The sequence below is a fragment of the Homo sapiens genome, chromosome 8 (assembly GCF_000001405.40).
Source record: "Homo sapiens chromosome 8, GRCh38.p14 Primary Assembly".
Classification (NCBI taxonomy): Eukaryota; Metazoa; Chordata; class Mammalia; order Primates; family Hominidae; genus Homo; species Homo sapiens.
The window spans coordinates 25,985,557-26,013,132 of record NC_000008.11 but is presented as its reverse complement, the minus strand read 5'-3'; the positions used below and the strand labels follow the sequence as shown (position 1 = coordinate 26,013,132).

Below are 27,576 nucleotides of genomic sequence, written 5' to 3'. Positions count from 1 at the left end.
GTCCCTTTAGTGAGATACTCCTCCCAAAACCAGCACTTCTTAACCCCCTTCCAGACTTAATTTTCTTCCTAACACTCTTCATCAACTAGGATGCCATATATTTGACTCATTTACTTGTTGATTGTCTATATTTCCAATCCCCCACCAACTCCCACTACTCTGCTACAGGTGGGCAGGGATTTTTATCTTTGTTTATCCTTGGCATCTAGAATAATGCCTAACACCTAGTAGGTATCGATGAGTATTTGTTTAATGAATGGATAACAGAAGGCCTGCACCATGGAAGACTTTGTTTGATGCTTCACAGAAAAGGTCAACGGTATGGGGCTGCTGAGTGTACATGGCACATGCTGTGAGCAAGGAGACAGGGACAGCATTTTCTTCGTCTGTGTGCCTTGCTAGGATCACCTGTTTGAAATCTGGCAAACACCGCAAATATGGAAAATGTCTTAGAGGCAGAGAATGCATACATGCATAAAATGGTAACTCTGTCCATTAGTGGAAAAGCTAAGAACCTTATCTGCCCATCTCTGCACACACTTCATCTTTGTCTTAATAGATTTCATTTTCGAATGCAAATGCTCTTGGTATAAATGAAAGGGCCTGTTTTATATAGGAGATACCCACTCTAAGAAGAAGGCAAGAATGAGAATAGAGAAATAAATTTAGTATGTATCAGGAATTACTGAAATGATTTTCAATTTAGGGTTAAGGCATATTTCTCCAGCTATTTCAAGTTAGTTATTTTTGATTGCATTTTTCCTTGTGTAATATTCCTAAAAATCCCTATTTTCATATAAAGGACATTTATTTCGATGTTCCCTATGCTAGTATGATATGAACCTTAATATGTATATTTATATATACTAAGCAAAGGCAACCTTCCACAGAAAATCTCTCTCGTATGTTCTACCTGTGGCTTTTTCTCCCCCAACCCACCTTTGGACTTTAAGGACAAAAACAAAATCTCATTCCTTTAACAAAAATCTGTGACACAGGAACTCTAGGGAAATGATACACTTGCAAAGAAGTGAAAAAATAAACAGGGCATGATTCTTTCTTTCTGTCTTAGAATAGGAACAAATGGATTGGCTTCCTAAGGTGAAGAAGTTTCTCTCCCTGCTTCAGTTTTCTCAGACTTCGGGTCTTTCAAGGCTCCCTTTGTTAAGTTACCACAGTGAGGTGGGAAAAGGTTAACCCACTCAGGAGGAGGCATTCCAGGAGGGGACGCTTGCCCGGGCATCCATTTATGATTGATGTCACCATGCTCCTGGCTGTGCATGTGTCCTGGAAATATGATAACACATTGCTTTTTTTTTTTAAAAAAAAGTTCAAGTAAATTCTATTCTCCGTTAAGACTGCTGACAGTTGGAGAATCATAGCAGGGAGGGGCACCACAGAGCGGTAGCAGTGAATGAGGACTTGATTTTGCAAAGACACATTTCCAGGTCTTGCTCAGGGTCCTTTTAGTCAATGGTACCATCCCATGTTTACTTATGTGTCAGTTTACTAAAGACCTTCTGGGAAGCAGATCCGCATTTTAGCTGATGTCTCTCTGGCTTTGACATTGTGGCATGGTCCTGGTTGCAGCATCAGACCGAAGGAATACCTGGTCATTAGTATTTATTATTGGCAAACTTGAAAGTTGAGGCAGGGAGAAAAAAAAAAAAGCCACCTGAAGAGAAATGTTTATTGGGAATCCAATAGGTGAGGACAGCATTTAAAGCTATTTAAAATGAAATTTAAAGCCAGGCAACTAGAGGCATATTCCCCACACAGAAAATATGAAAGGAAAATGATTGGTCGCTGCTATCGCTTTCTTTTACTAGAACAGGTTAGTTGTTTCACAAACGCAACCTAAAAATAAGAAATCGTATCATGTATGAGTGAGAGCAAGATTAGCAACGTAATCAATATAAACAATATTTCCAACTCTATGCAATTTCCTTGGGAACAACCCCAAGTTACTGGGATGCAATTTCAATTGCTTTGATAAATGTGGTTTGCCTTTATCCATAAAGTGCTAAGCTGATCAACTGCTGAGCTATTGCTTAGAGTCCGAAGCAGTGGAGTTATTAACTTTTGCTGCAAAGATGTAGGTAAGACTACCTTAGAGATGTGTGTGTGTGTGTGTGTGTGTGTGTATGCACACATATGCAAGCATATAAAACAAAAGTTTATGCACTTTAAATAATAATGTTTATGGACTTTTTCTAGTGCAGGCAGGTAAATAGCTACACATCGGTGCCCATATTTGTCAATATCTTTCAAGTATCCATTCATGGAACGCTCGGTGATGAAGGACAGAAAGAGCCGCTCTTTGGGTCTGATGTATCTGCAGGCATCAGGGAATGTTCCCCTCAGCGCGGTGCCCTCGTATCGAGGGAAGAAGGCATTCCAAGATGTCATAAATAAATAAATAACATTTGCCGTTGTTTATAAATCAATTAATTTGTAAGTTGAAAGGTCATGCAAAATATTTAGAGCTTTCCGAGGCAGCTCTCAAGCTGCAGCACGGCGGCCCAGAAGCAGCTGTCACGATTGTGCTCCTCTCGGTGCTCAGCTGCGCGTCGCTGGGTATTTTCTGCCGGGAACGGGTGACCGCTTGATTAGCCGCTACTGGGTTTTGTTCAACGGAGAGCTCTGCATGGTTGCATTTTAACACCTTCTCCACTAAGCAGGAGGCCAGCACAGGGTGCTAAATTCCTGTCTGTGGCTGTCTGTGAAATAAATCTGTGTGTTGTGCCGTTCCAAGCTGTCAGCAGTGGTTCGCCCTGATGGGCCCCTGAAAGGAGTTTCCTTTCGGTCTGTGGAGCAGTGAGCAGCCACTAGGGAGCTGTCTTTAGCTCAGATTTCAGAGTTAGTTCATTAGACCAATAACAGCAGACACTCTCTTAAACATATTCACAAAGTTATATTATGAGAAGGGGGAAAAAATGCCACGGCCAGACAATGCTAATATTGGGTTTCCCCTTCCCTTTTGTACCAGCCCAGATAGGAGACAGGAGGACTCCATGACCTCAGGCTCCTTTTCTTTCTGTTCCCCCCGACTTTCCGTTCTGATGTGTGGCCTATCTCCATGACAGGTTTATTTATAAAAGCAAAGTTTCTTCCCTTCCTGGGTAGGCAGTATCTCTCATCCATTTTCTCTGTTCCTTCTTAATAGGAGTTCGAGCCAATGGTATCTGAAGTGGAGGGCGTCCAGTGAAATGATTATTCCATGTCCTGGCTTCTCTCCTTGTTCTTTAAATGCATGTTTTTCTTCTTGGCTTAGGATGTCAGCAGTCTCCTCAGATATTTATGTGAGATTCATGAAATGAAGCCAGTCACTGAATTTCTAACTGGGGTGTTTCCCTGCAAAACAGTTTTTTCTTCTACCCTCTATTTAACTTGTTCAGCTCTTCTGCTTTAAACATTCCAGAACTTCTCTGCCCAGCTGTTATTGGCATGCGATCGCTATAATGTAGTAGATACCACACGGATGCCGTTTGCCAAGAATCTCGGATACTTTTAATTTGCGGGCGGTATTTCTTAGAGAATCGTGGCTGGAAGAAGCAAAATAGAGTCAATACCCAAGTTGCCCACGTTTTGCAGCGTTTGCATTTCAGTAAAGGCTATCTACCTTTTGCATAATTATTCAAAATAATTTTATACATCAAATTCTTTTTGGCTGATGAGTACTAAGCACATGCTTGCTTTCTGATTCTTGCAGTTATTTGTCATTATGATGTGTGATCTGACTTGTGTCTGGTAATGCTAGTTTTACGGTTACACATAGATCTGCTTTAAGAATTCCCTGGTGCTCACTTGTATAGAACATGCTGAATACGTTTATACTTGGCTTTAGCACAAAGGTGATTCTCTTCTTTCTGGGGGAAAAAAAGAGAAAACTCAGGCAAAGTATGTTCAGCCATTGTGAAGTAATTCAAGGAAAAGGAAAGAAAGAGCAAAATAACTTTTTTCCTCTTTTATGACAAACTCAAACACCCACTCCCATGGTGGTTTTTTTTTTTTTTTTTTTTTTTCGCTTTTACTCATGGATAACTTAAAAATGGCTCAACTTGAAATTTTCCATGTGTCCACAAAAGCTCCTGGGACTTCTGAGGATATGTAGGCAGGAAACACTTCAGAATATATAAGCAATCAAAATTTTGTTTTCAGTTTGTGAGCATGCTGTATAAAATATCACAAACTTTTTGGCTTAACGACTTTTCCTACAATTTTACACACACATAGCATGTGTTGTTGTTTTTATTTCTGCTTTACTTTCGTGTTTTTTTTTTTTTTTTTTTGAGAGGTTGATAAATAGGGGTAAGAGTAGTTTGGTTATTCTAGGCATGGACAGTTAACTATGTATTTCTATGCAGAGTAACTTTTTTCCTCTTTTCTGTTTGGTTTCTAAGGAAACAAAGGCCTGGGATATAAAAAGCAAAGATGATAAAACGCTGCTAATTTAATATTGGCAGTAAAATTTCAGGCAAAAGGAAAAAATCAAATGGGAAGCCTTAATTCTTCTAACTGCACTTAGCACTTTGCAATCGAGAATTTTTCCCTATTAATTACAGTGATCTCAGTGAGTACTTTAGTGGTTAACGTAGTAGGTTGATGGGCTGAATACATCTTGGAGTCCTTGGGTTCCAACCACTGTGTGTCTCTGTGGCACCACTACACTAGGCTGACTTTTTGCTCTTAAACAGCCACTTAAACATTTATTTAATGGGCACGGAACATGACCTTACCAGGTCCTTCCCAGCTGAGGCTTCTCACAGTGATCAAGGCAGGACGTGTTTTGCAGTATTATTGGTCAAATGCAGAATAGAATAAATGTGAAGGGAACTGCAGGAAAAGGAGAAAATATGGGAATGCAGACATAATGCATATTATGATTTTTCCATAGACTTCCTGAGGACTAGCCTTGTACTTATAGCCGAGGAGAGGTTGTGTGCTGTAAATACTGCTTGGGAAACATAGACCCATACCCGTGTATCACTGAAGTCCATCTTGTATGCAGTTGGTGAAAACTATTATTGACCTGGAAGATCTCCCAGGCCCTGCTGGTCATGATGATTGCATTGGAACTGGGGACAGAGTCTCCCAAGTGGATTCAAATATTAGCCTCTGTGAACGGCCCAAATGTAGGACATTTAAAACTATTTCACTTGGAAACTATGCAGTGATGTCTTCTTTTTTCCGGGAAAAATGCTGAGATAAAATTATTATTTTTTTTTTTTTAGGGAAACCTGCTATACTTTTCAAGTTATATCAGGCTAGTTTATATCTGTAATTGGGAGCTGCTTTCTCTGTAGTGTGTGTGTGTGTATGTGTGTGTGTGTGTGCACATGTGCAAAAGTTGCAAGTGTACGGGAAAGTGATGGTTCTTTAGGGGTGAAAATCTGTGTCTGATCCGGGAATCCAGGGTGATCCCACTATTGCAGCCTGGCTCCAGCTCTGTGGTTTGAAGGCTTGGCGTGAGCCTAGGAGCTTCATGCAGGGGTGATGAGTGTTATTGTCTTTTAGACTTCTCCATATTCTCAGTGAAACCCTTCCCCAGCAACCTTGACTCGTGCTTTTGTTTTCTAAATGAGACTGTTTTAGTTTCCATCCATTTCTTTATCTAGCTGTTTGTTTGTTTTACATATGGACCCTGGATTAGATGATTAAAAAAAAACTCAAATGAAATAGAGGAGAACAAGCAGTAAATGACAATATTGGCAGGAGAACATGATGAAACAAATTGCATCTCTAGTTTCCCAGTGGGACCCGATACCAAAGTGATTCACGTTTCATGAATGGAGAATGTCAGAGGCCACAGGGGGTGTTCAGGGGCCCCCTCAAGGCTGTGGAGTGAGTCAGTGCCCAAGGCAGGACACACAGCCTGGCGTCCTGTCCACTCACCAAGAGGCCAGGCTCTCTCCCTGTTGATCCAATAATTTAAAACATCAGGGATGGAAATGATCAGATCGCAGAAGAAAACTTCACTGAAGCAACATGGCTCCAAAGAGCCAGGAGAAGCAACAGTTCTCTTTAAGTCATACTTCATCTCTCAGTGAGAATATTTCTTAAGGATTATGTGCATTACCTCCATCAATTCCTTTGCTTCTGTGGCTGTCTAGAAGGGCCTGCTCCTTCAGTAACCGAATAACTTATTTATCCCTTCTGTTGAGGTAGACTATGCTGTCATCTGACAAAAAGGTGAAAATGTAAATATGGTCAGAGGAGTGTTTTTGATAGTAGCTATATTGGATTATTGACCAAAAAGTATGAATCAAGTGGGTCCTGCTGTGTTCAAATTACTCAGTCCCACGGCCTTTAAAGGGAAAAGAAATTGCAGTGGTTCTGAAGAGGAATAACACAGAAGTTAAAATCCTATTTCCAGTCTCTTAAAAAGGAGGGATGGGGACTTGGCCGTGTGCCCTGTCTCACTATAGCCAACATCAGCCTAGCTAGTGGGCTTCTGATTTTTGCTTTGAAAAAATCCCTGCTGGGCACTGGCAAGGAGACAGTGTCATGGAAATGTAATTAATTGGACGACATAGTTTTCTCATCAGGAAGAATATAGAAGGTTGTTTATTTAAATATAGAGTCATAAGGAATAATGCCACAGAAAATTACAACCCTACATCCATGAAGATGTTCATTCCATTGCTTATTATCTAGAATAGCAAAGACCTGAGCAATCTATTTCGTAAGAGAAGAATGACTAAGCAAATGATGGCACAGAGATTTGATGCACTATTGCACAGTCATTGAAAAGAATTATAGAGGTTGTCTAGCAATGTGGAAAAATAAATGTTTGGTGAAAAAATAGAACACATGTTGATCTCTGTTGTAGATACTACTCTGTAAAATGTGCCTACATATGTGCATGCAGGAAGCAGAGAAAATGAAAGAGTCAATGGTGAGGGTGGTGTGATGATGTCCCTGGATCTGTTTGTTACTTTCTGTTTTTATTTTCTATCCCTAATGTAATTATAGGCAGTGTTTCAAAGGAAGATCACCTGGATCAGCTTTCTGAGGACCTGCCTTAGAGTATGTTTTAACTTTTTATTCCCACTCTGCATTTGTCTCTGTCCAAGGATGTTTGGCTCCTTGTGAAAATGGATGTTTGTTCTGCAGAAAGGGCATTTTTTTCTTGCGCTGGGGAGGGAGCAGAGTTCCAATGGAGACATGCTGCATGGAGGCCCTGACCATTTTAAAACCACAAATTAAACTGCGGCTACTTTGGGAAGGATTTGTGCTTTGAAGTCAGTGCTTCAAAGCATGAGTCTTTCTATCATTTTAAAATCTTTTTTTTTTTTTTTTGAGACTTGGTCTTGCTCTGTTGCTCATGCTGGAGTGCAGTGGTGCGATCTTGGCTCACTGCAGCCGCCACCTCCCAGGCTCAAGTGATCTTCCTACCTCAGCCTCCCAAACAGCTGGGACTGCATGCACACACCACCATGCCCAGCTTATTTTTAATTTTTTTTGTAGAGACAGAGTCTCACTATGTTGCCCAGGCTGGTCTTGAACTTCAGGGGGCTCAACCGAGCCTCCTGCCTTAGTTCCCAAAATACCTCTCTCTCTCTCTCTCTATATATATATATATATATAAAATATATATAATATATAATATATTTTATAATATATATTATATTTTATAATATATATTTTATAAATAATATTATATTTTATAATATATAATATATTTTATAATATAATATATATAATATATATTATAATATATATTATATTTTATAAAATATATTTATAATATATAATATATAATTATATATAATATATAATATATATTATATATAATATATAATTATATATAATATATAATATATAATTATATATAATTATATAATTATATAATTATATATATTATATATTATATATAATAAAATGTATATATATCACATATAGATATATTCTATATATATATATCTCCATCTCCCAGCTCTTCTTTTATATCTAACTAACTTCTTAGCAGTGTTCCATAGGTTTTCCCATGACCGGTAGGAAGCACAATAGACAAGAGAAAATTCTGCACTTTAATTTGATTTTTTTGCCATTGTACTTGTGTTTCTGGGCAAGTGGTTCTTCCCTTTGTACCTCAATGATCTTCTTTCTATTTCTTGTCTACCTCAAAAGAAGACTAGCCACTATGCGACTGTTGTATATGGATCCCACTGTTCTAGATAAATGAAGAAATTAAAGATAATTCTGTTCTATTCTTTAGGAATAGACTCTATTTTATGGAATGAGGTGGGGCTCAGTTTGAGCTATGGCACCCATCTCTCAGCCCTGGTTACGAAGTCACCATTTGGAAGTTGAAGGGTTTAGGTGCCTTTTAGTGGACTGTTATTTTTTTTAAATGATATGATTAATTTTGGTCACGGAATTGTTTTTATAGACAGCATTATGAAAGGGACCACTTTGTTTTAAACCTACTTTTTTTTTTTTTTTTTTTTTTTTTTGGAGACAGTCTTGCTATGTCACCCAGGCTGGAGTGCAGTGGGGTGATCTTGGCTCACTGCAACCTCTGCCTCCCTGGTTCCAACAATTCGTGTGCCTCAGCCTCTCAAGAAACTGGGACTACAGGCGTATGCCACCACGCCCAGCTAGTTTTTGTATTTTTAGTAGAGACGGGGTTTCACCATATTGGCCAGGCTGGTCTCGAACTCCTGACCTCATGTAATCCACCTGCCTTGGCCTCCCAAAATGTTGGAATTACAGGTGTGAGCCACTGTGCCAGACTTATTTAGTCCTATCTTAATAGTCAAAGTAAATTACACTTTGAGTACAATTTGGAAGTTGGGCATCAATGTAAATCATGATACATTCTACTCTGCTCATCTTTCTTGCAACTATTTTACCAAAATTTAGCCAGTTTAGAGACAGATCATTCACTGGGCTTGAAATTATGGTCCAAGAAAAGCCATTGTTTAAAAGATTTATAATATTGGAACCAATGGTGACAACAAACTCCACATGTAGATTTTATTTTGAGTAGTTTTAATCCTTTTTTTTTTTCTTTTTTTAACATGTCAGTCTTGTCCTAAGGTCTTTGGACATGGGGAAAATACCAATTCAATAATTAAACGACACCTAGAAGTGAAAGTCCTCCACAGAGTGGAAGGACAACGCCTCTCCTAATGAGACAGAAAACAAAGATGAGAGAGTTCCAGAGACAAAGAGCTTTGCTACAAACTACCCCTGGTCCCCCAGGAGCGCAAACTCTTGCTGGCAGGAGCGAGCACTTTGGTTAATCCCTAATTGTCCTCCTGGTGCTTCGCCAGAGAGGTGATTTTTCAGGAGAAGGATATAATGGTCCGGCTCAGAGGATGTGTGAATTTGGTGGGGTGGGTCAGTAACGATTGCCCCTTCTCAGTTCTCAATAATCCTGGCTGTCACCTCTTCCCCAGGGATCATGGCCAGGGTGGAGGATTGATGGCCCAATGTTCTAAGCATAATGACCTTGCAGCTCCTCAGTCAGTTTACCTGAACACCTTCCAGGTGGAGGTTGCCTCTTAGGGCATCAGATTTCAATCTGAGCTTGTCTCAAGTCAGGGAGAGGAGCCCCCACCCCACCAGTGCTCCCATAGGAACCATGGTACAAGCTCCATTGTCCTGAAGCCGGATCTGATTCCAGAAGTTCCAATACAGGAGACTACTTACCTGCTGCCTTACCTACATAAAAGTCATCGTAAACAACTTTCATCTCCTTCTTTTGGGGAGAGGGTTGGGAGTAACAAGAAAAGTTGAAGCTGTAAGAAACATTTCGAAAACTCTGGCTCACAGAAAATAATCTAGTAGCAATGATGGAATAGGGATGGGGAAGAAGCAGCAGCTCTCAGGGGGCATTCAGCTCCTTTCTAAAAGGGCCTAGAAGTTTTGGGCACTTTTTGCAAGTTTTTCCAGAGGCTCAGTTCCCAATACATAATTAGTTATCCATGGAACCCTCCCAGTCCAATGTTACCCAAAGCTCCCAGAGACTCCCAGAGTGGAAGCGGAGGAGCAACTCTGGATAGCCTCTTGGAGGACAAGTGACCCATTCTGGTTTCCACATGACCAGTCAGGAACTTCCTGTGTTCCTTGGGATCCTTGTCTGCAAAATGAGGCTGAGAACAGGGATGAGACCTTCCCCAGATGAGAGCTGTCTGGGAGCTGTCCAGGGCCACCTGCCTGCCTGCCTGCCTGCCCGCCCGCCTGCCTGCCTGCCTGCCCGCCTGCCCGCCTGCCCGCCTGCCCGCCTGCCTGCCCGCCTGCCCGCCTGCCCGCCTGCCCGCCTGCCCGCCTGCCTGCCTGCCTGCCTGCCTGCCTGTCCCGTTGGCTTTAACATCAAATCTGCAACCACAAGCAGCCACATTCTGACTTTAGAAGAGGCTTCACACCCAGGGGGAGAGACGCAGCCGGGAAGAATCGGGCCATTACTACCCTCATTATTTATTTCTCACCCAGCACTCCAAAGCCTGCAAGGAAAAGAAGTCTAATTCCCTCCGCATTTCCATCCTGCAGTATTTACTCCAAGCCCGAGCCTCTGCCTGTTAATGTTCTCTCTGAGGAACTCTACTTGCTTTGAGGAAGGGCCGTAGGGAGATAGAACACAAAGGGAAAAGGAGGCAGAGAAGTGCTCAGCCCCGGGCCCTTGCCGAAGAACTGGCGCTGTCATAATTTACACACCTTGTCTAATGCACAGCACATGTCTGGGCTACAAAAGGCGTTGGGTAGGCTCGGCGCTGGCTGCCTCGCAGTGAGCCTGCTGGGAATGTGTCAGCAATACTCTTAACGATGACAAAGTAGTTCATCAATAATTTTTTCCCTTACACCCTTATCCAAGAACGGAGCAACAAAATAAAATTCGTCTCCCATCTAGCCCTCCCCTCTGCATGGTCCTCACAGTCATCCCTCACCCCACCAGCAGACTTCATGTTGCCTTAGGCAAGATGACCACAAGCTCAGCCCCAGAAGTGGGATCCTGGCCCTGGGCTGGCACCTTTGATTCCACTTTCAGGCAAGCAAGTGGCCTGGGATCCTTATGTTCCTTTGCCTGAACTCCCGGTTCCCTTTGTCTGTGCTAAAGTCGGGTGATACTGAGGCCTTTCTGGCTATTGTGCCTCAGAAAAGGAAGCTCTCTTAGTTTTCATCACAATCCTAGTGAGTTTAATGCATTTCAGTTCCTTTTTATCTGTCATCCCCATTCTGGAGTTCCTATGTGAGCAGCATCATTAGGATCCAGAGGCTGTGTAGGAGTGGGCATGGGGGAGGAAACTTAGGTAGAGCAGTTCTTTTAAAAATGCAGGGCTGGGTGTGGTGGCTCACACCTGTAATCCTAGCACTTTGGGAGGCCGAGGCGGGCAGATCACTTGAGGTCAGGAGTTCGAGACCAGCCTGGCCAAAATGGTGAAACCCTGTCTCTACTAAAAATACCAAAATTAGCTGGGCATGGTGGCGCGTCCCTGTAATCCCAGCTACTCAGGAGGCTGAGGCAGGAGAATCGCTTGAACTCGGAGGTGGAGGTTGCAGTGAGCCAAGATCGCACAATTGCACTCCAGCCTGGGGACAAGAGCAGAACTCCATCTCAAAAACAAAAAAAAAAGCAAATAAACTTATTTTCCTTTATATGTATGCCATGTTTAATGGAGAGATTATTTAGAATTATAGATACTGTAAGAGAAAAGAAAGCACATCTGCTAAGACTAACTGCAAATAATATTTGGCAAATATGTAGATATCTGTTCAGCTAGATGTTGATAGATGTCTTCATAGATCTCTTCCAAGTATCCATTTAGTTAAATCTCTTTCCATCAACCTCTCTTTCTTCCTCTGTCTCATCCTTCCTCCTTTCTTCACTTTTTCACTTCCTCCTCTCTTAACTTTTTTTTGAAGGCAGGAGCTGGTCTTATAAGACACAGACTGTATGTCCCTTCCCTTCCCCTTCCAGTGCTGGATGAATGTCTTGTCAGAATGGTGCTCTTTGAGGGCCCAGTGAGCCATTGCCAAGCACAGTGCCTGCCACTTAGCATGCACTTGGTGCTCATTGGGTTACATTTTAGCACATCTTTTTAGGTACCCCAAAGACCATAAGATTGCTTCCCATGCTAGGAGTCATTTGCTAAAGACTGCATTGTATCTCAAGCTTATGTTAACATTTATGGCCCCTCGTTGAGGTAGGTTTGATTTTTGCGCCAACCTCCACTCTCTAATTTCAATTCCTTGCTCACTTCCTGCAGCATGACCATTGGCAGTCTATCCATAATACAACGATTTTCCTTTATTTATTGGGTTAGCTCTTCGGCTGGCATTTTTACGGTTATGTTGTGCCTGTTGATTGTTGTTGGCTAAAGAACAAACGCCTGGCTAATGTCCACAGGGAAGAACAATTTGCAAATTTATTTTATCCTTTTGTTGATATTTCAGTTCCAAAGGCTCAAGATTAGTTTGCTTAACTAATGCGTTATCCCTTGATCCCAGGTGTTTCCATATGACAGTGTCATCTGGGCTTGGCTCCCTCGTGTGACATTCAGGACTTGCGAGGATGCACACATCCTTATGAAATACTAACAATTCCATTTATTAGGGGTTACAGAACCAAGATATAGCCAGTTGATTAAAGGAACAAATGAATAGTGAGTTTATTTATGTGTCAACAGGGGCCAGTTATTGAATTTGTCTTATTTTTCTCATACAATATGGCCTCAGTACTGGTGATCATGGTTGCTGCTAGTTTCCAGGCTGTAAGTGCAGAGACAACAGGGACCATGTCTTCTCCATCTTCCCCAAGACTTACCACTGGACCCAAAATATGTTTGAGCTTCATAAAGGCCACTTAGCGATATTGATGATGATGGTGTAGCTAGCATTTGCACTGCTTTGTAATGGAGCAAGCCAAACTGTGGTGCCCAGTGACAAATATATACATCACCCTTTGTACCTGGACAACATAAAGCCAAACAGAAGGCTGGGTCTCTCCCAATTCCCCTGTGTGAGGAGGATTTGGGAGTAAGGACTCAAATGCCAGATTCTCATTCGACTGTAACTTAGGAAGTTCTAGGACTCCAGAAATATCCTGGGACAATAAAATTGTGATGTCTACAATTTTCATGGCCCGCTGTTATGAGTTTCTGGCTGCTCAGGAGTTTTCTGCCAGGGTAGTCAGGTCCCTTGTTTTTGAGTTGCTAGTGCTACTGCCTTGAGTTCTGAGGTCCCATGGACTGGGGCTAGATACATTTCAGAGACTTTTGATGTCTTGGTCCAAGTGGAGATGGGTTTTGAGCCACACGGCTGGTACTAGAGAAATTTAGTGGGAGGCAGGCAGCAAAGAAAACGATGAGGAAATAGAGAACTGCAGAAATGTGATGGTAGAAAGACTAAACAGAGAAGAGCTGAGTGGACAGACTGAACACGACGATAGAAAGAGAAAATGGAAGGGAGGAACTTTCACAGGAGAGGGCGTGTGTGGATATGGGGGACGGTTTGGGAAGATGGGAGGCAAAGACAAAAAAAAAAAAAGAGGAAAGACAAGATCCAGAGTAAAAACATGAAAGAAAGCAGAAGACATGTAGGGAAATGCAGAAGGAAATTAAAAACCCAGATGTAGAGAGACCAAGATTGCGGAGGGAAGAAAAGAAAAGGAATGGAAAATGAGTATAGGAAAAAAAATTGCAAGTTCTCTTTGAGGGAGGTAAACAGGGCATTCGTCAGATGAGAGTTTTCATGAGACATGCTACATTAGCAAATAACTCCAGAAAGAGAGGGCTGGAAAATTCAAATACATCTTCATCTGATGAGTTTTTAAAAATAATATTTATTTATATCTTCATTGGCCCCCAAATCCACAGAATGCGAACCAAATCATCATGAATGTGTGTCTTGAGGAGAAGAAAATAGACAAAAATGATGGTGGCAATAGATTGTTTTTCATTTTCCATTTCAGAGACAATTTAATAACAGTTTGGCTCTGATGGTTTTATTTATTTTGCTTTCTCTTCTCAAGGGCCTATTGGGTACATGTCTGTTTTTCTCTAAGCTTGTTTATAACTAAGAGGGAACCTAATCTTTCACTTCAGTAACATCAACCTGATTTTCTCTAGGATCCTGAGTTTCTCTCTTTCTTCTCCAGCTCTTCTACAAGAAATTGGCCACATGTCAATCTTTTCCTTTTCTTGAAAAGTTTTTTCTTTCCCTATACTAGTTACTCAGTGGCGCTGGCAAGTGGGACCCGAAATTTGTTTATTCAAAGAGAGACGGTGGTGACGAGTGTATTTCCTGTATTGTGAAATCTGAACTCATCTGTGCTCTTGTAACGAGATATCAATCTTTTGTGTAATGCCAGGTAGTGTGCTTAATTGCCCTCTTGTAATGTGTTATCCCTGAGATGATAATTTGAGTTATTTCTTTGTTAACCTTTACACAGCCAATAACAAATTAAACATCATTATCTGAGTTTAAAATAGGCTGTAAATCTCTAAGCCCTGGTAATACTCAGACACTTACAACCAGGGAGTCATAAAATGACATTAAATGACACTCTGAAACACAACCCAGAAAGTACTACAAATAAATGGGAAGAAAGCAGAACGTCACCACTGGAGTTTACATGGAAGGATCCATCTGAATCACCATGTGGAGATTATTCAAATTACAGCAGTTTTGCCCTAACAAAACCACCGAAAATGCACTTGCTTCATCTTTCTTCCTACGGCTGGTGTCCCTTTCAGAGTTGGACATTCCTTCTTCTTCTATGGCTTGAAATAGTGCGAGAAAGATTGAGTTTGCTTCTTTTGTGCCACCAGTTTCTCTCTTCTCCTGACACTGATATCCTTGTCTGTTTCCTTCACACCTATTGCTTGAACCACCCATCTGGTGACTTCTCTTGTTTTCCCTCCCACTGCCTGACATTGTAAGTCATCTCTCCTTCATGACACTGTGAGCTTGCTTGTAGAATTATGTCTTGCCCTTATTTTGTAGAGTAAGTGTGCCACGACCCAGGGATGGTGATGGCAGCTAGGAGGGATGGGGAAGAAGGCCTAAGAAGACCTAAAAAACAATTTCATTAATGTTATTCACATCTTCTCCAACTTTATTTTTTAGTCTATTTTGTTTGCCAAAGAGCAAGAGGGATAAGTTAAAAGTCTCTAGTTATAATTTTTTTTCTGCCAATTTATCCTTGGAATTCTAATACTTTTAAGATGTATATATTTTGATGTATATTTTTATTTATGATTACTGTGTATTATTATTAATGTTAGCTCTTTTTATTATTATAAAATTAGCTTTTTTACCCAGTTTCATGCAGAGGAAACTGCTATTTGAACCAACATTGCTGTTCTTTTTCTCAGATTTGTTTGAAAACTGGTTCTATGGGATTGCCCCATAGTCTAACTGAGCCTTGTATATCCACTAAGGGCCAGAGAGAGAAACTGCCTTCTCAAGATAGCACTGAAACTATAGTTAATGATAGAACAGGTCTAGAACTCTAGCTTCCAGCTCCCAATTTGAATGTTCTTTCTGTTATACTCCATGTCAGATGGAGATGGTTAGAATGGGTCTGTTTGATTACTTTTTTTTTTTTTTTTTGAGATAGGATCTGGTTCTGTTGCCCAGAGCCAGAGTGCAGTGGTACAATCTTGGCTCACTGCAGTCTCAACCTCCTGGGCTCAAGTGATCCTCCCACCTCAGCCTCCTGAATATCTGGGACTACAGGTGCACACCATCATGCTTGGTTAATTTTTGTATTGTTTATAGAGATGGGGTCTCGCTATGTTGCCCAGGCTTGTCTCAAATTCCCGAGCTCAAACCGTCTGCCTGCCTTGGCCTCCCAAAGTGCTAGGATTACAAGTGTGAGCCACAATGCCTGGCCTAATTTTTTCTTTTTCTTAACTATTGCATGAACAATGGTGATAATCTGAGAGAATGTGTCTTTGGGGCTTACCAACCTCAGTGGAATGAAACCATAGCATGAAATAGAGTGGATTTTAGCACAGAGTGGGCGGTAGGGAGTGGGTCACACCACACCACACCACCTGCAAGTTCTGCTCCAGCTGTGCTGTCTCCAGGATTGCATGGTGACCCATCTCCATGACCTCCTGTGCTTTTTGTTTTTTTGCTCATAGGCTGCTTAATAAAACTCTTTTAGTTTTATGAAAATTGTTGCAAGATCTTGAAAAAGTTTTATTCTGAAATTTAGTATTTCCCTAAAAATAGTGGATTTAGTCAACATTTTTATACTTATTAGCACATGATTATACGTAGTATTCTTCACAATTTAAAAAAATCTCCACTTTAACTGTAAATTCTGAATGTTTTTCATTACTAATGAGGTACTTGCCTTTGTGTTCTCTTTTTCTCTCATTCTCTTACCATCTTTCCTCTTATCCTTGGCAGAAGTTTTTCCAGTTTATATTTAAATTATTTAATTTTATTGTCAATTCTGCTTAATTATGGTCTACTTTAATCTTTGTTAATTCCATTATTCTGCTTTCTGTGGGTTTATTTCACTTTTAAGTTTCTTTGATTTAATTCTTAGTTTATTTTTTAGTTTTTCTTTTCTTATTTTTTTAAAACAAAGCACTTTGGGCTATGCATTTTCCTCTGTGTGCAGTTTTGGCCATGATTTTTCATGAGTTTCAGTAATTTTTTTTCTGATAATCATTTTTTGTAAGTACTCAATTTGCAGTTCTGATTTTTAAGTGACTGATTTGTTAATTTGTTAAAATTTAAGAGATTACCTTAAATTATTCAGTTTGGTTAGAAAAAGTGATTTGAACAATTTTTGCCTTTTGGGATGCTGGAAAAAATTTCATTAATGTTTTTCACATCTTCTTCAACCTTCTTCATTTTTTTTTTTTTTTTTGAGACAGGGTCTCACTCTGTTGCCCAGGCTTAGAGTACAGTGGCATGATCTTGGCTCACTGCAACCTTCACCTCCTGGGCTCAAGCCATCCTCCCACTGCAGCCTTCCCAGTAGATGACAGGCGTGGGACCATGCCTGGCCAATTGTTTTACTTTTTGGTAGAGATGGGGTTTTGCCATGTTGCCCAAACTGGTCTCGAACTCCTCAGCTCAAGTGATCTGCCAGTCTCAGGCTTTGGCTTCCCAAAGTGTTGGGATCACAGGCATGATCCATTGTACCTGGCCCTACCTTGTTTATTTTTTAGTCTATTTTATTTGCCAAACAGCAAGGAGGATACGTTAAAATCTCTAGCTATAATTATTTTTCTGCCAATTTTTCTTTGGAATTCTAATACTTTAAAATTTATATATTTTGATGTAATTTATTTATATTTATGATTACTATGTATTATTAATATAAATGTTAGCTCTTTTTATTATTATAAAATTAGCTTTTTTACACAGTTAATGCATTTTTTTACTTTTAACTTTATATCGCCTACTATTAGTTTTGTGACCTCTGCTTAATTTTGGTTTATGTTTTTCTCATAATCCCTTATACATCTTTTTACATATAATTTTTTATTTGGGTGTTTTTTAAAAACAGTTTATTGAGGTGTAGTTTACATACCATAAAATTCATTCATTTTCAGTGTGCACTTCAGTGATTTTTCATAAATTCATGGAGTTATGGAACATCTGAGTGTTCTTTTAAATAGCATACATATTTTCGATCTAACATGAATATTTTATTCAATTCCTTTTTAATGCGAGAGCTTAACTTATTTACGTTTATTATTATAGCAGATATTTTTGCTCATGGATCTGTCTTCCATTTTTTATTGTTTTTATTTCTTTCATCTGTTGTATTTTTGTATAAATATGTTTGCTTTAAATCTTTTAACATATGTTGGAATGTATATATCATTTTTATTTTTATTTCTATTTTTTGAGGCAGAGTTTCACTCTTGTTGCCCAGGCTCAAGTGCTGTGGTGCGATCTCAGCTCACTGCAACCTCCGTCTTCCAAATTCAAGCGATTCTCCTGCCTCAGCCTCCCAAGTAGCTGGGATTACAGGCATGCACCACCACGCCTGGCTAATGTTTGTATTTTTAGTAGAGATGGGGTTTCTCCATGTTGGTCAGGCTGGTCTCGAACTCCTGACCTCACGTGATCTGCCCACCTCAACCTCCCAAAGTGCTGGGATTACAGGTGTGAGCCACCACGCCTACTGTATATATCTTCTTTAAAAAAAATTTTTTTTTCATTACAAGGAATTGAAATTTTATTCCAGGTATTTATTTATTTAATTTTTTTCCTTCTAACTTTTATTTTAAGTTCAGAGGGTGCATGTGCACATTTGTTACATGGGTAAATTGCATATTGCTGGGGTTTGGTGTATAAATTATTCTGTCATCCAGGTAGTGAACATAGCACACATAGGTAGTTTTTTTTGCCTACCCTCCACCCTCAAGTAGTCCCAATGTCTGTTGTTCCCTTATTTGTGTCCATGTGTACTCAGTGTTTAGCTCCCACTTATAAGTGAGAACATGCAGCATTTGGTTTTCTGCTCCTGTGTTAATTCACTTAGAATAATGGCCTCCAGCTGTATCCACATTGTTGCAAAAGACATGATTTTGTTCTTTTTTCATGGCTGCATAGTATTCCATAGTGTATATGTACCACCTTTTCCTTATCCAGTTCACCATTTTGGGGCATCTAAGTTGATCTGATGTCTTTGCTATTGTGAATAGTGTTGCGGTGAACATACATGTCCAAGTGTCTTTACAGTAGAATAGAATGTATATCTTCTTTAATATTACTATTAAATTGTTTTCAAGAAGTTTTTTTAGCCTATATTTCTATTAGTGTCAGTCATAAGTGGAAGTCCTATTTCTGTTTGGCACAATAGTTTTATAAAATTTTGCCTTACATCATTCCTATTCTTTTCTTCTGTTGCCATTTCTTGGTCTTTTTAAATAATAAATTTGGCTACTATATCCAGACTAATATAATTGTATCAAGTTTTCGTGTATCTTCTATTTTGATCATTATTTTTAATATGTAAGTTTTATAGTCATATTTATGTTGATTATTAGGCTTACCTCTATTTTGATTGGTTTTAGTGTTCCTCACTAGTCCCCTTCATATTATGATATCTGCATTTTAAGCTTTTAATTTTTCTTTATTTTTCTAATGTTGGATTGCATCTTTAATAATCTTGTCAAGCAGGGTATATAGGTCCTATGTTTTCTGACACTTTGAATACCTTAGAGTCTTTCTCTGAGGTCTTCCTTTTCAAAATAGTGGCTGTAAAACTCTTAGGCCATATCCTTTTCTAACTATTTAGACATTGCCCAGTATATTCTAGCATTTAATGTTGAGATAGGAAAGTTTGGGTACACCTAGATTTTCATCGATTATTCCTGGAACATAATAAGCTTCCCCCACCCCCCCAAAAGACATAATGGACATTTAAAATTTGCATACATTTCTTCAGCTCAGAAAAATATTACTGTATTACATTTTTTAATGCTTCTTCTATTACATTCCTTTGTCTCACCCCTCTGTGTTCTAGGGAGCATCTCAAGCTTGCATTCCACACAGTGGTTGCAGTTTCCCCCGGTTGCTGCGTGAAGAATGAACTGGAAAGTAGCTTGAGACAGAGTGTAGCAGAAATGCAACTGGGAGAGCAGTCAAGGTGGCTCTTACAAAGACATAAAAAGGAAATGGGCATGGCTCAGACCAGGAGGGTGGCAGTATAGATGGAAAGCAGTGAATGAAATTGAGATGCATTTCAGAAGTAATTTTCAGTGTTGCTATGAACATCTTTCCTTTATGTTGCCTCTCTAGGTCTTGTAGTAAGAGGCAGGGGAAACTGCATAGGGGCTGTTAGCAGAAGGTCATTTTGAACTGGAAGTCTGCTAACAGATGTGGCCAATTTATAGGGAAGAGGAGTCCTAATAGCTGGGCATTTGCAAAGTGCTTAAAAATTTATTCAGTGATGTCTCATTTGCACCTCTTATCCAAAGGTGGTTGACAGTGCAGACAGAGCTAAGAAAACTAAGGTTCTGGGCACTTCATTGACTTGCTTGAGGCCACCACTTAGTGGAAGAATAATGACCTCATCTTCTGTTTTTCAGGGGAGTGGATTTTCCACTTTCCCAGTGTATTGAGAGCCTTTGGTGTCCGTAGGGACTTTGGAATTATTATGTCACTGAAGGAGGTGGGGGCAGGGAAAGGTGGTGGATCAACTCAGCACACAAAGCTGGGTCCCTTTCCACACATTGACCAGCACAGCTCCCCTTTTGCCTGTGATATTCTTTTAATTTCCAAATATGATTTTTTTTTTTTTTGAGACAAGGCCTCATTCTTGTCGCCTAGGCTGGAGTGCAGTGGGGTGATAGCTCACTGCAACCTCTGCTCCGTGGGCTCAAGCTATCCTCCCACCTCAGCCTCCTAAGTAGCTGGGACCACAGGCATGTGCCACCAAGCCCTGCTAATTTTTGTATTTTTTTGTAGCGATGAAGTCTCACCATGTTGCCCAGGCTGGTCTCGAACTCCTGAGCTCAAGCAATTTGCCTGCCTTGGCCTCCGAAAGTGCTGGGATTACAGGAGTGAGCCACCCACCATGCCTGGCCTTAAATATGAAATTTTTGATTTAAAGAAGTTCTGTTGCCTTTGGGCCTGATGGGTCTGTGGCTTTAATACAAACGACACTTGAATCCTCTCCACTCTCTTAATCTAGGTTCTGACCAAGCGCACCACCAAATGGAGGTGGCATGACAACCATGAGACACGTTGTGCAGTTCCTAGTTCAGCTCCACTGAGCTGGTGTTTGGAAAAGACTTTCTCCACTCCTGGCTTGCATCTGGTCTTGGCCTATACACTGCCTTTTGCTTTTTTTTTTTTTTTTTTTTTTTTGAGACAGAGTCTCACGCTGTTGCCCAGGCTGGAGTGCAATGGCGCGATCGTGGCTCATTGTAACCTCTGCCTCCCAGATTCAAGCAATTCTTCTGCCTCAGCTTCAGCTGGCATTACAGGCGCCTGCCACCATGCCCAGCTAATTTTCTGTATTTTTAGCAGAGACAGGGTTTCACCTGTCAGGCCAAGGTAGGAGAATCACTTGAACTCGGGAGGTGGAGGTTGCAGTGAGCCTAAATTGCACCACTGCACTCTAGCCTGAGTGACAGAGTGAGACTCTGTCTAAAAACAAAAAACAAACAAAAAAAGATTCATCATATTGATACCTGTATCCACAGTTGTTCCTTTTTCATTGCCAAGTGGTATTCTGTTGAATGACTCTGCCACAATTTGCTTAGCTAGTCTATTGCTGCTCAGTGTTTGTCATCATGAATGAAGTGGTTGTGAACTCTCCCTTTTGTTTTTGCTGTCCCTTACTTATTTTTTTGAGACAGAGTCTCACTCTTGTTGCTCAGGCTGGAGTGCAGTTGTGCGATCTCGGCTCACTACAACCTCTGCCTCCTGGGTACAAGCGATTCTCCTTCCTCAGCCTCCCAAGTAGCTGAGATTACAGGTGCCCGCCACCATGCGTGGCTAATTTTTCTATTTTTAGTAGAGATGGAGTTTCACCATGTTGGCCAGGCTGGTCTCAAACTCCTGACCTCAAGTGATCTGCCCGCCTCGACCTCCCAAAGTGCTGAGGTTACAGGCATGAGCCACTGCACCCGGCAGTCCTCTATTTTCTGCCCCCATTTCCAGACCCCTCCAGTCTTTGTTCCCAGAACACCTTCAGAATGCATGAGTAAAATGGAGGTGATAATTTCCAACTCACAGGATTGTGGTGGGAAGAAAGTGAGACCATCTATAAAAGTCTTCCAGTTCAGTTCCTGGCATACAATGGGCCTCAATAGGTGGTGGTTCTGATTAGACAGAATAGGCACAAAGGCTTCTCTCTGTGAGGCTTATTGTGATTGGATTTCTGTGATATATTCTTGCTCCTTGGCTTTTGCCAAATGAACCCCCACCTACGTGCCTTCATTTATTCCCCTAAAATCTCTCCCTCTCCCCATGAATTAAATAAGGATAAAAATACAAACTTTCCCAGTATTATTGGAAGAGAATGCTGAGGAAAAATGATGGCAGAAGAGTTTGCAAAAGAAACAGCATCTCCTTTTTTTTTATTTTTTTCACACTACTCGAGTTTTGCAAGAAATTGCTTCGAGATCCTTGGATGAGAAAACTGTATTCAAAAGCCAAGAGCTACAGTTTGAGGGATATCCTTTTCCCAGACCCATTAGCTGCCATTCAGCTAGGACTTAGCAGTTTCCACTGGAGCATAAAGAAGTTTATTTTACCATTTTAATTTGGTGCTGCTTTATTTACCCTGTTTGTGCTAACCCAAATTTGGCATCCACTCTGTACTCCAAGTGCTAATTTAAGTGACATATTTCCGTTCTGCCTGGGAAGAATACACAGAAGAGCTGAAAGACGTGTGTTTATAATTATAAGGTACTGAGTTGGCTCAAACAACATCGCGTAGCATATGGGAACTATGTGGGCTAGTTAGCAAAAGTTTATGCTGAAGCCTGATGCCATTTGGCTGAGTTTTGTAAACTCAGAGTTGTTAAGTTGTATCTAAGAAGACATGGGCTGAGTCAATTTAATATTTCCAGGCTGGTCCATTGTGGTGGTAAGGACTGCCCCTTTTCTTGGCTTGAAAGGACAGAGGACTTGGATTCTGTGCTGGAGCTAGTAGATTTTGTTGGGATAAGAGAGACAGGCTGTTTTCTTACAGCACAGTTGTAGAATCTGAACATGAGTGCTTGGCCCCAAGCTGGCTAAATCTGGCTTTTAATTTTTCATCCCAGATTGACATTGAGGAGGGTTCTTGGATTATACTGAACATTGCTCATTTTAAGCTTTCTGTTTAAAACAACGTTACATATGATCTTGTAAAGTTTTGACTTAACAGACCTTTCTTATTATTATGTAATATAACAATCCACATATAAATAGGGTATTTTAAACTCAGAGGAAGGATGTGCTGGTGTAGAAATGTGTCTATTGATTTTATGTGTGTGTGTGTGTGTGTGTGTGTGTGTGTGTATAACCCATAGCTCTGTATTATATACATGCAGATGTATAAGGACATTTTTTTATGTAACATGACTGGCTGTGTAAAACTGGAGTTTCAGTAAGATGTCTTTGTATACCTACTGCGTGCAGGCAAATTAGATCTTGCTTCCTGATCTCAGGTTTCCTTTTCTACTGCAACCTTCAAGGCTGGGAAGAGGAGATGACAGGAGAGAGCCACTAGGGACTGAATCCCCAAGCCAATCCTAATGCAGCTTTAGGCTCTAGAAGTTGACCCCTAGGCCAAGTGAACTGGTAGAGAGGAAAGCCATTAGCTCTCAGTGTAAGGCTTCCTGGTGAGGCTGCCTTGCTGCTGCTGTTGCTTCTGATGTTTACTCACTGGTGAGTATAGGAGCAAGGCCACCCATGGCTCTCTTATCCAGAAAGCCAAATCCACTTAGCTTACGGAACGGGAGACTCATGTGCCCATCTTCCTGTTATTTACATGGAATACACAATGTCTTTCAATTGCAGGCATACTGGAAAGAGACAGGGTCAGAAATTTAAACTACTTGTAAATGTGGGAGAGTTGTCTGCAAGCCATTTGCGTTGTCATGTATCTGAATCATGTTGATTCCCAAGCGCCTCCGGCATATGAGGACAAATGTAAAATGTCTATAGTCTCTGAAACCCCTTGTTTACATGGATATTTATTTAAAGAATCAGAGCTTCCTATGCCAAATAACATACTTTATAAATCATGTCTTTTTTCATCTTTAGAGGGGATTAGATGAGGTCTTGCCCTTTTACAAGTTTACTACGACACAGATCTTTATAATCCAGATTTGAATGTATTGCAAGCCAAAACCTTGCCTTAATGTCACATGGGAGATGGTGAAAGCTGCTGTGATGTGGCATTGGCCCATCCTATGAGTTTGTTATCTGTCAACACCCAGCAGAGAAGGGCCTCTTCCTACTATTTCACCACTCATTCCTGAAGAGTCACATTTAATTCATCCTTTTCTGTTTCTAAAGCATTCTCACATGCATTTATGCCTGTAATAACCTTCTAGGGAAGCTATCAGACTCATTTTATGGAACACTGAGGCCCAAAGAGGCTAAGGCATTTGTGCAAAGCCAAATATTTTGTCAGTAAGTGACAGAGCCTAGGTTGCCTGACTCTAAGACCAGTGTTCTTTCCTCTACACCGCAACTGTCCCTTGTGTTTGGATATCACATAATTAATTAAATATGATAGGATGATACAATGTTGCTAGTTTAGTTTTTGTGTATTAGTCTTGTTTTGCAGAACGAACATAGTTTTTTGGAAAGAGCTGTGGATTTGGAGTCTAAAGAACTGAGTAGAAGTTCTTGCTTTTCCACTATTTAGTTATGCGACTTGGGGCAAATCAATTCTGAGCCTTGGTTTTCCTTATCTGCAAAATGGTCCTAGTAGCAAATGTCTTGTGAATGCTGGAGGATGGTATCTGATAAAGCATTTCGTAAAATAGAAAATATTATGCAAAATGTAAAATGTTACCCTTATAATTCTCTCTTCAACTAGATTGTAGATTCCTGGCTGGATTAGATCACATTACTTTTCTATTTCTATAACTTAGCATAATGCCAGCTACATGGAAGTTATTCAATAAATATGAGCAGATGATTTATTCATTGACTGAAGCTGAGATCATATGAGCCTCCTAGTTCCCTTGTTTCTCATCCCCAGTGCATAATGTGGTAACACCCCAGAGATAAGTTTTGGCAGATTAAAATATGCTCCTTAATGCATGTATCAACATTCATATTTGCGTATATGGACTTATAAAACTCATTTAAATGTGTGCATGTGTGATCACCTAGAATATTTCTGCATGTGCATGGGGAATTCTCCATTAGTAGGGGCTCACTAATGGCTGGGACATAGGGACTAATGGAGCCTTGGGAAGATCAAAGCTTGTCTGCTTGTCTCTGGCTCAGTGTGGCTCTGTGGGCAGCTCTTTGATGAGCCCAGGGCTCTCAGAACTGTGTGAAGAGCCCCAGGGTGGGAGTATGTGCTCTACCCTCTTTATTTCTCTTCTATCTACACTCCCCAACCTGCTATCCAGTGAGTGGCCAAATGGATCCATGGACAAGAAGTGCTAGGCTGGGAGGAACCAGCAATCCTGAGGAATTAGGTCTTTTGAAAAACCCCTGGACACCACTAAGCTGTCCTTGGAATGCACCTATGTTATGAAAAAATTCAGTGAATTATGAGAGTCTCTATAAAAAACCTAGCAAATTGGTAGATCTCCTCAAGACATGACAATGAAGATGATTATGAGTTTTGTATATTACTGTAGTATATACCTGTGTGGTTGTGTGTCTGCAGACACACAGCTACTACCTGGAGCCCACATGAATGCTTGAAGCCCCTGAGGGCAGGGGCTTCTAGGGAGCACAATGAACACCTTTTGGAGGGCATTGGAATGGGGGTGGGTTCTTATGCAGTTTGTGTTCAAGAAGAGTAGCACGATACAGAAGCATTCAACCTGGAAGTTAGGAGACCTGGGTTCTGGTTTGATTGTATTATTCTTGATAAAACTTAATCTTTGTGTGCTTCAGTTTCCTCAGCTGAAAAGCCAAGGCAGTAATCCTCACTCATGATTGTTGAAGGGCATGGATATGATGCCACTCATAGAAGTTCTTAGAAATCTGTAAAGTGTCGAGCACATAAAAGGTGATACGATGGTTGTGTTTTGAAGGTGTAAATGACTTGGAGAGCCAGCCATAGAGTGATGAAGAGAAGGACTCTGGAGACTGCCTGGGGTCAGCTCCCATACTGCTTACCAACTGTGTGAACTTGAGCAAGCTACTGAGCCTCTCTGTGCCTCAGTTTCCTTATCTGCAAAATGGCGGGAAATAATAGTACCAACCAGTGTTTGAGCACACAGTTAAGGTCTCAATACATGTTTTATTTTATTTAATATAAAAACATTCCTATATCTGTGATGTTCATATATGTATCATATTATCCAAGTCATATAAAACTAATATCCAATAAATATGACTCTTTGCTAAGTCAGATTCCAATATTCTTGCTCTTTCTGTCCTTACCCTCACCTCTGCTTCTTTAGCCTTATCTTCCTCTTCTGCTTTTATGAGAAAGATGCAAATTATCAGTTTTTTTTTTTAATTCCAGGGTAAAATCTAGACCAGTGGCTTTGGGGTTGTGCTCAGCAGAGCCTCATGGGTTACAGAAAAGTGTCACAGAGCTGATGGGGGTGAGGGTGTCATGGCCAGGTGGAGGCCTGGGCTCCCCATGTTGCCTTTGGCAGAGCCTTTGTCCACACTGGGCTTCTTTATATGATTTTATTTAACAAGAGAGTTCAGTTGCTTACAAATCTTGGAACATGCTGGCTTACAATCAACTCTATTCTTATCCATTCAGCTTTTATCTTAGGAACCGTCTCCACCTATGTCTGTTACAACTGACAGAGTATTGTTAGTGACATTGATGAATCACAGAGTATTGTGCCATCCCCCTAAAAAGTCAGTTTTTTTTTAAAGTTGTTGTTATTGGTGTATCATATGAGGAAAGTAGAATAATCCAATTGAAAAAGATTTACAAAATAAAGGTTGACATAAAAATGAACTCTCAAATGACCAGTAAACAAGCCCACTGAGTTTAACCAAGATTTTCACACAGTCAAGCATCGAACAAGGTGTATATATTGAGAAACTGGTGAGTTTGGTGCCGTGGTGGACATGACAGAACTGCCCCTGTCTTTGGGAGTTTATAATCTAGGGAGGGTGACAGTTTGGGGGCACTTAACAGCAATTCGAAAGTCATGTGATTCCACATTCAACAATGCTTCTGTAAATACTACAGCCCAGTGAGAGAGAAGTTAGAGTAGACTGCATTAATAGTACAGGAAAGCTTCATGAAGGAGCTGGGAGTTGAATATGGTAGAATTTAAGCAGGTGGAGGGCATTCTAGGTGGGGGCTATTGCGTGAACAAAGGCAAGGAAAGTGGACCCAGCAGTCAGAGACAACTGTTATCTGAACCATAAGCTTCAAGAAGGCAAGAACCATGGTGTATACCCAGCATATAATAGTTGCTCAACAAATATGTGTTGTACAAATAAATGCATATCTTAAGTCTATGTCACATGTAATCATTAAGCTCATGAAACCTTCCCAACCCCTCATGTACTTTTTTTTTTTTTTTTTTTTTTTTGAGACAGAGTTTCACTCTGTCACCCGGGCTGGTGTGCAGTGGTGTGATCACAACTTACTGCGGCCTCAACTTTCTAGGATCAGGTGATCCTCCCACATCAGCCTCCCCAGTAGCTGGGACTACAGACGCATGCTACCATGCCCAGCTAATTTTTGTATTTTTTGTAGAGATGGGGGGTCTCTCTGTGTTGTCAAGGCTGGTCTTAAACTCCTGGGCTCAAGCGGTCGGCCTGCCTCAGCCTCCCAAAGTGTTGGGATTACAGGCATAAGCGACCGTGTCTGGCCTCACTTCCTTGCTTAAATAGCAAGATTCCCGTAATTCCTGTCCACCTCAATTTCTCCTCTCCTGGCTGGACCATGAATAATCTTTCAGTGAATGTCAGGGATTTGAGAATGACCTTTGTTATATATCTGGTCCAACACTTTGTTTTACAGAGGAGGAAACT

At 40.6% G+C, this 27,576-nt stretch overlaps 1 protein-coding gene across 1 annotated transcript in view, besides 3 other annotated features; it reads left to right on the top strand.

Annotated features, from left to right (window-relative positions):
• Positions 1-27,576, top strand: part of EBF2 (EBF transcription factor 2) — a 203,689-nt gene that overhangs the window by 32,281 nt on the left and 143,832 nt on the right. The gene's annotated exons all lie outside the window — the stretch shown is intronic.
• Positions 22,633-23,211: an enhancer, noted in NCBI's record as "OCT4-NANOG-H3K27ac hESC enhancer chr8:25847438-25848016 (GRCh37/hg19 assembly coordinates)". NCBI's record gives its function as "activates a minimal SCP1, AML or CMV promoter by ChIP-STARR-seq in naive H9 embryonic stem cells {active_cell/tissue: H9 hESC(naive)}" and the evidence as "EXISTENCE:reporter gene assay evidence [ECO:0000049][PMID:30033119]".
• Positions 23,212-23,789: an enhancer, noted in NCBI's record as "OCT4-NANOG-H3K27ac hESC enhancer chr8:25846860-25847437 (GRCh37/hg19 assembly coordinates)". NCBI's record gives its function as "activates a minimal SCP1, AML or CMV promoter by ChIP-STARR-seq in naive and primed H9 embryonic stem cells {active_cell/tissue: H9 hESC(naive and primed)}" and the evidence as "EXISTENCE:reporter gene assay evidence [ECO:0000049][PMID:30033119]".
• Positions 23,790-24,368: an enhancer, noted in NCBI's record as "NANOG-H3K27ac hESC enhancer chr8:25846281-25846859 (GRCh37/hg19 assembly coordinates)". NCBI's record gives its function as "activates a minimal SCP1, AML or CMV promoter by ChIP-STARR-seq in naive H9 embryonic stem cells {active_cell/tissue: H9 hESC(naive)}" and the evidence as "EXISTENCE:reporter gene assay evidence [ECO:0000049][PMID:30033119]".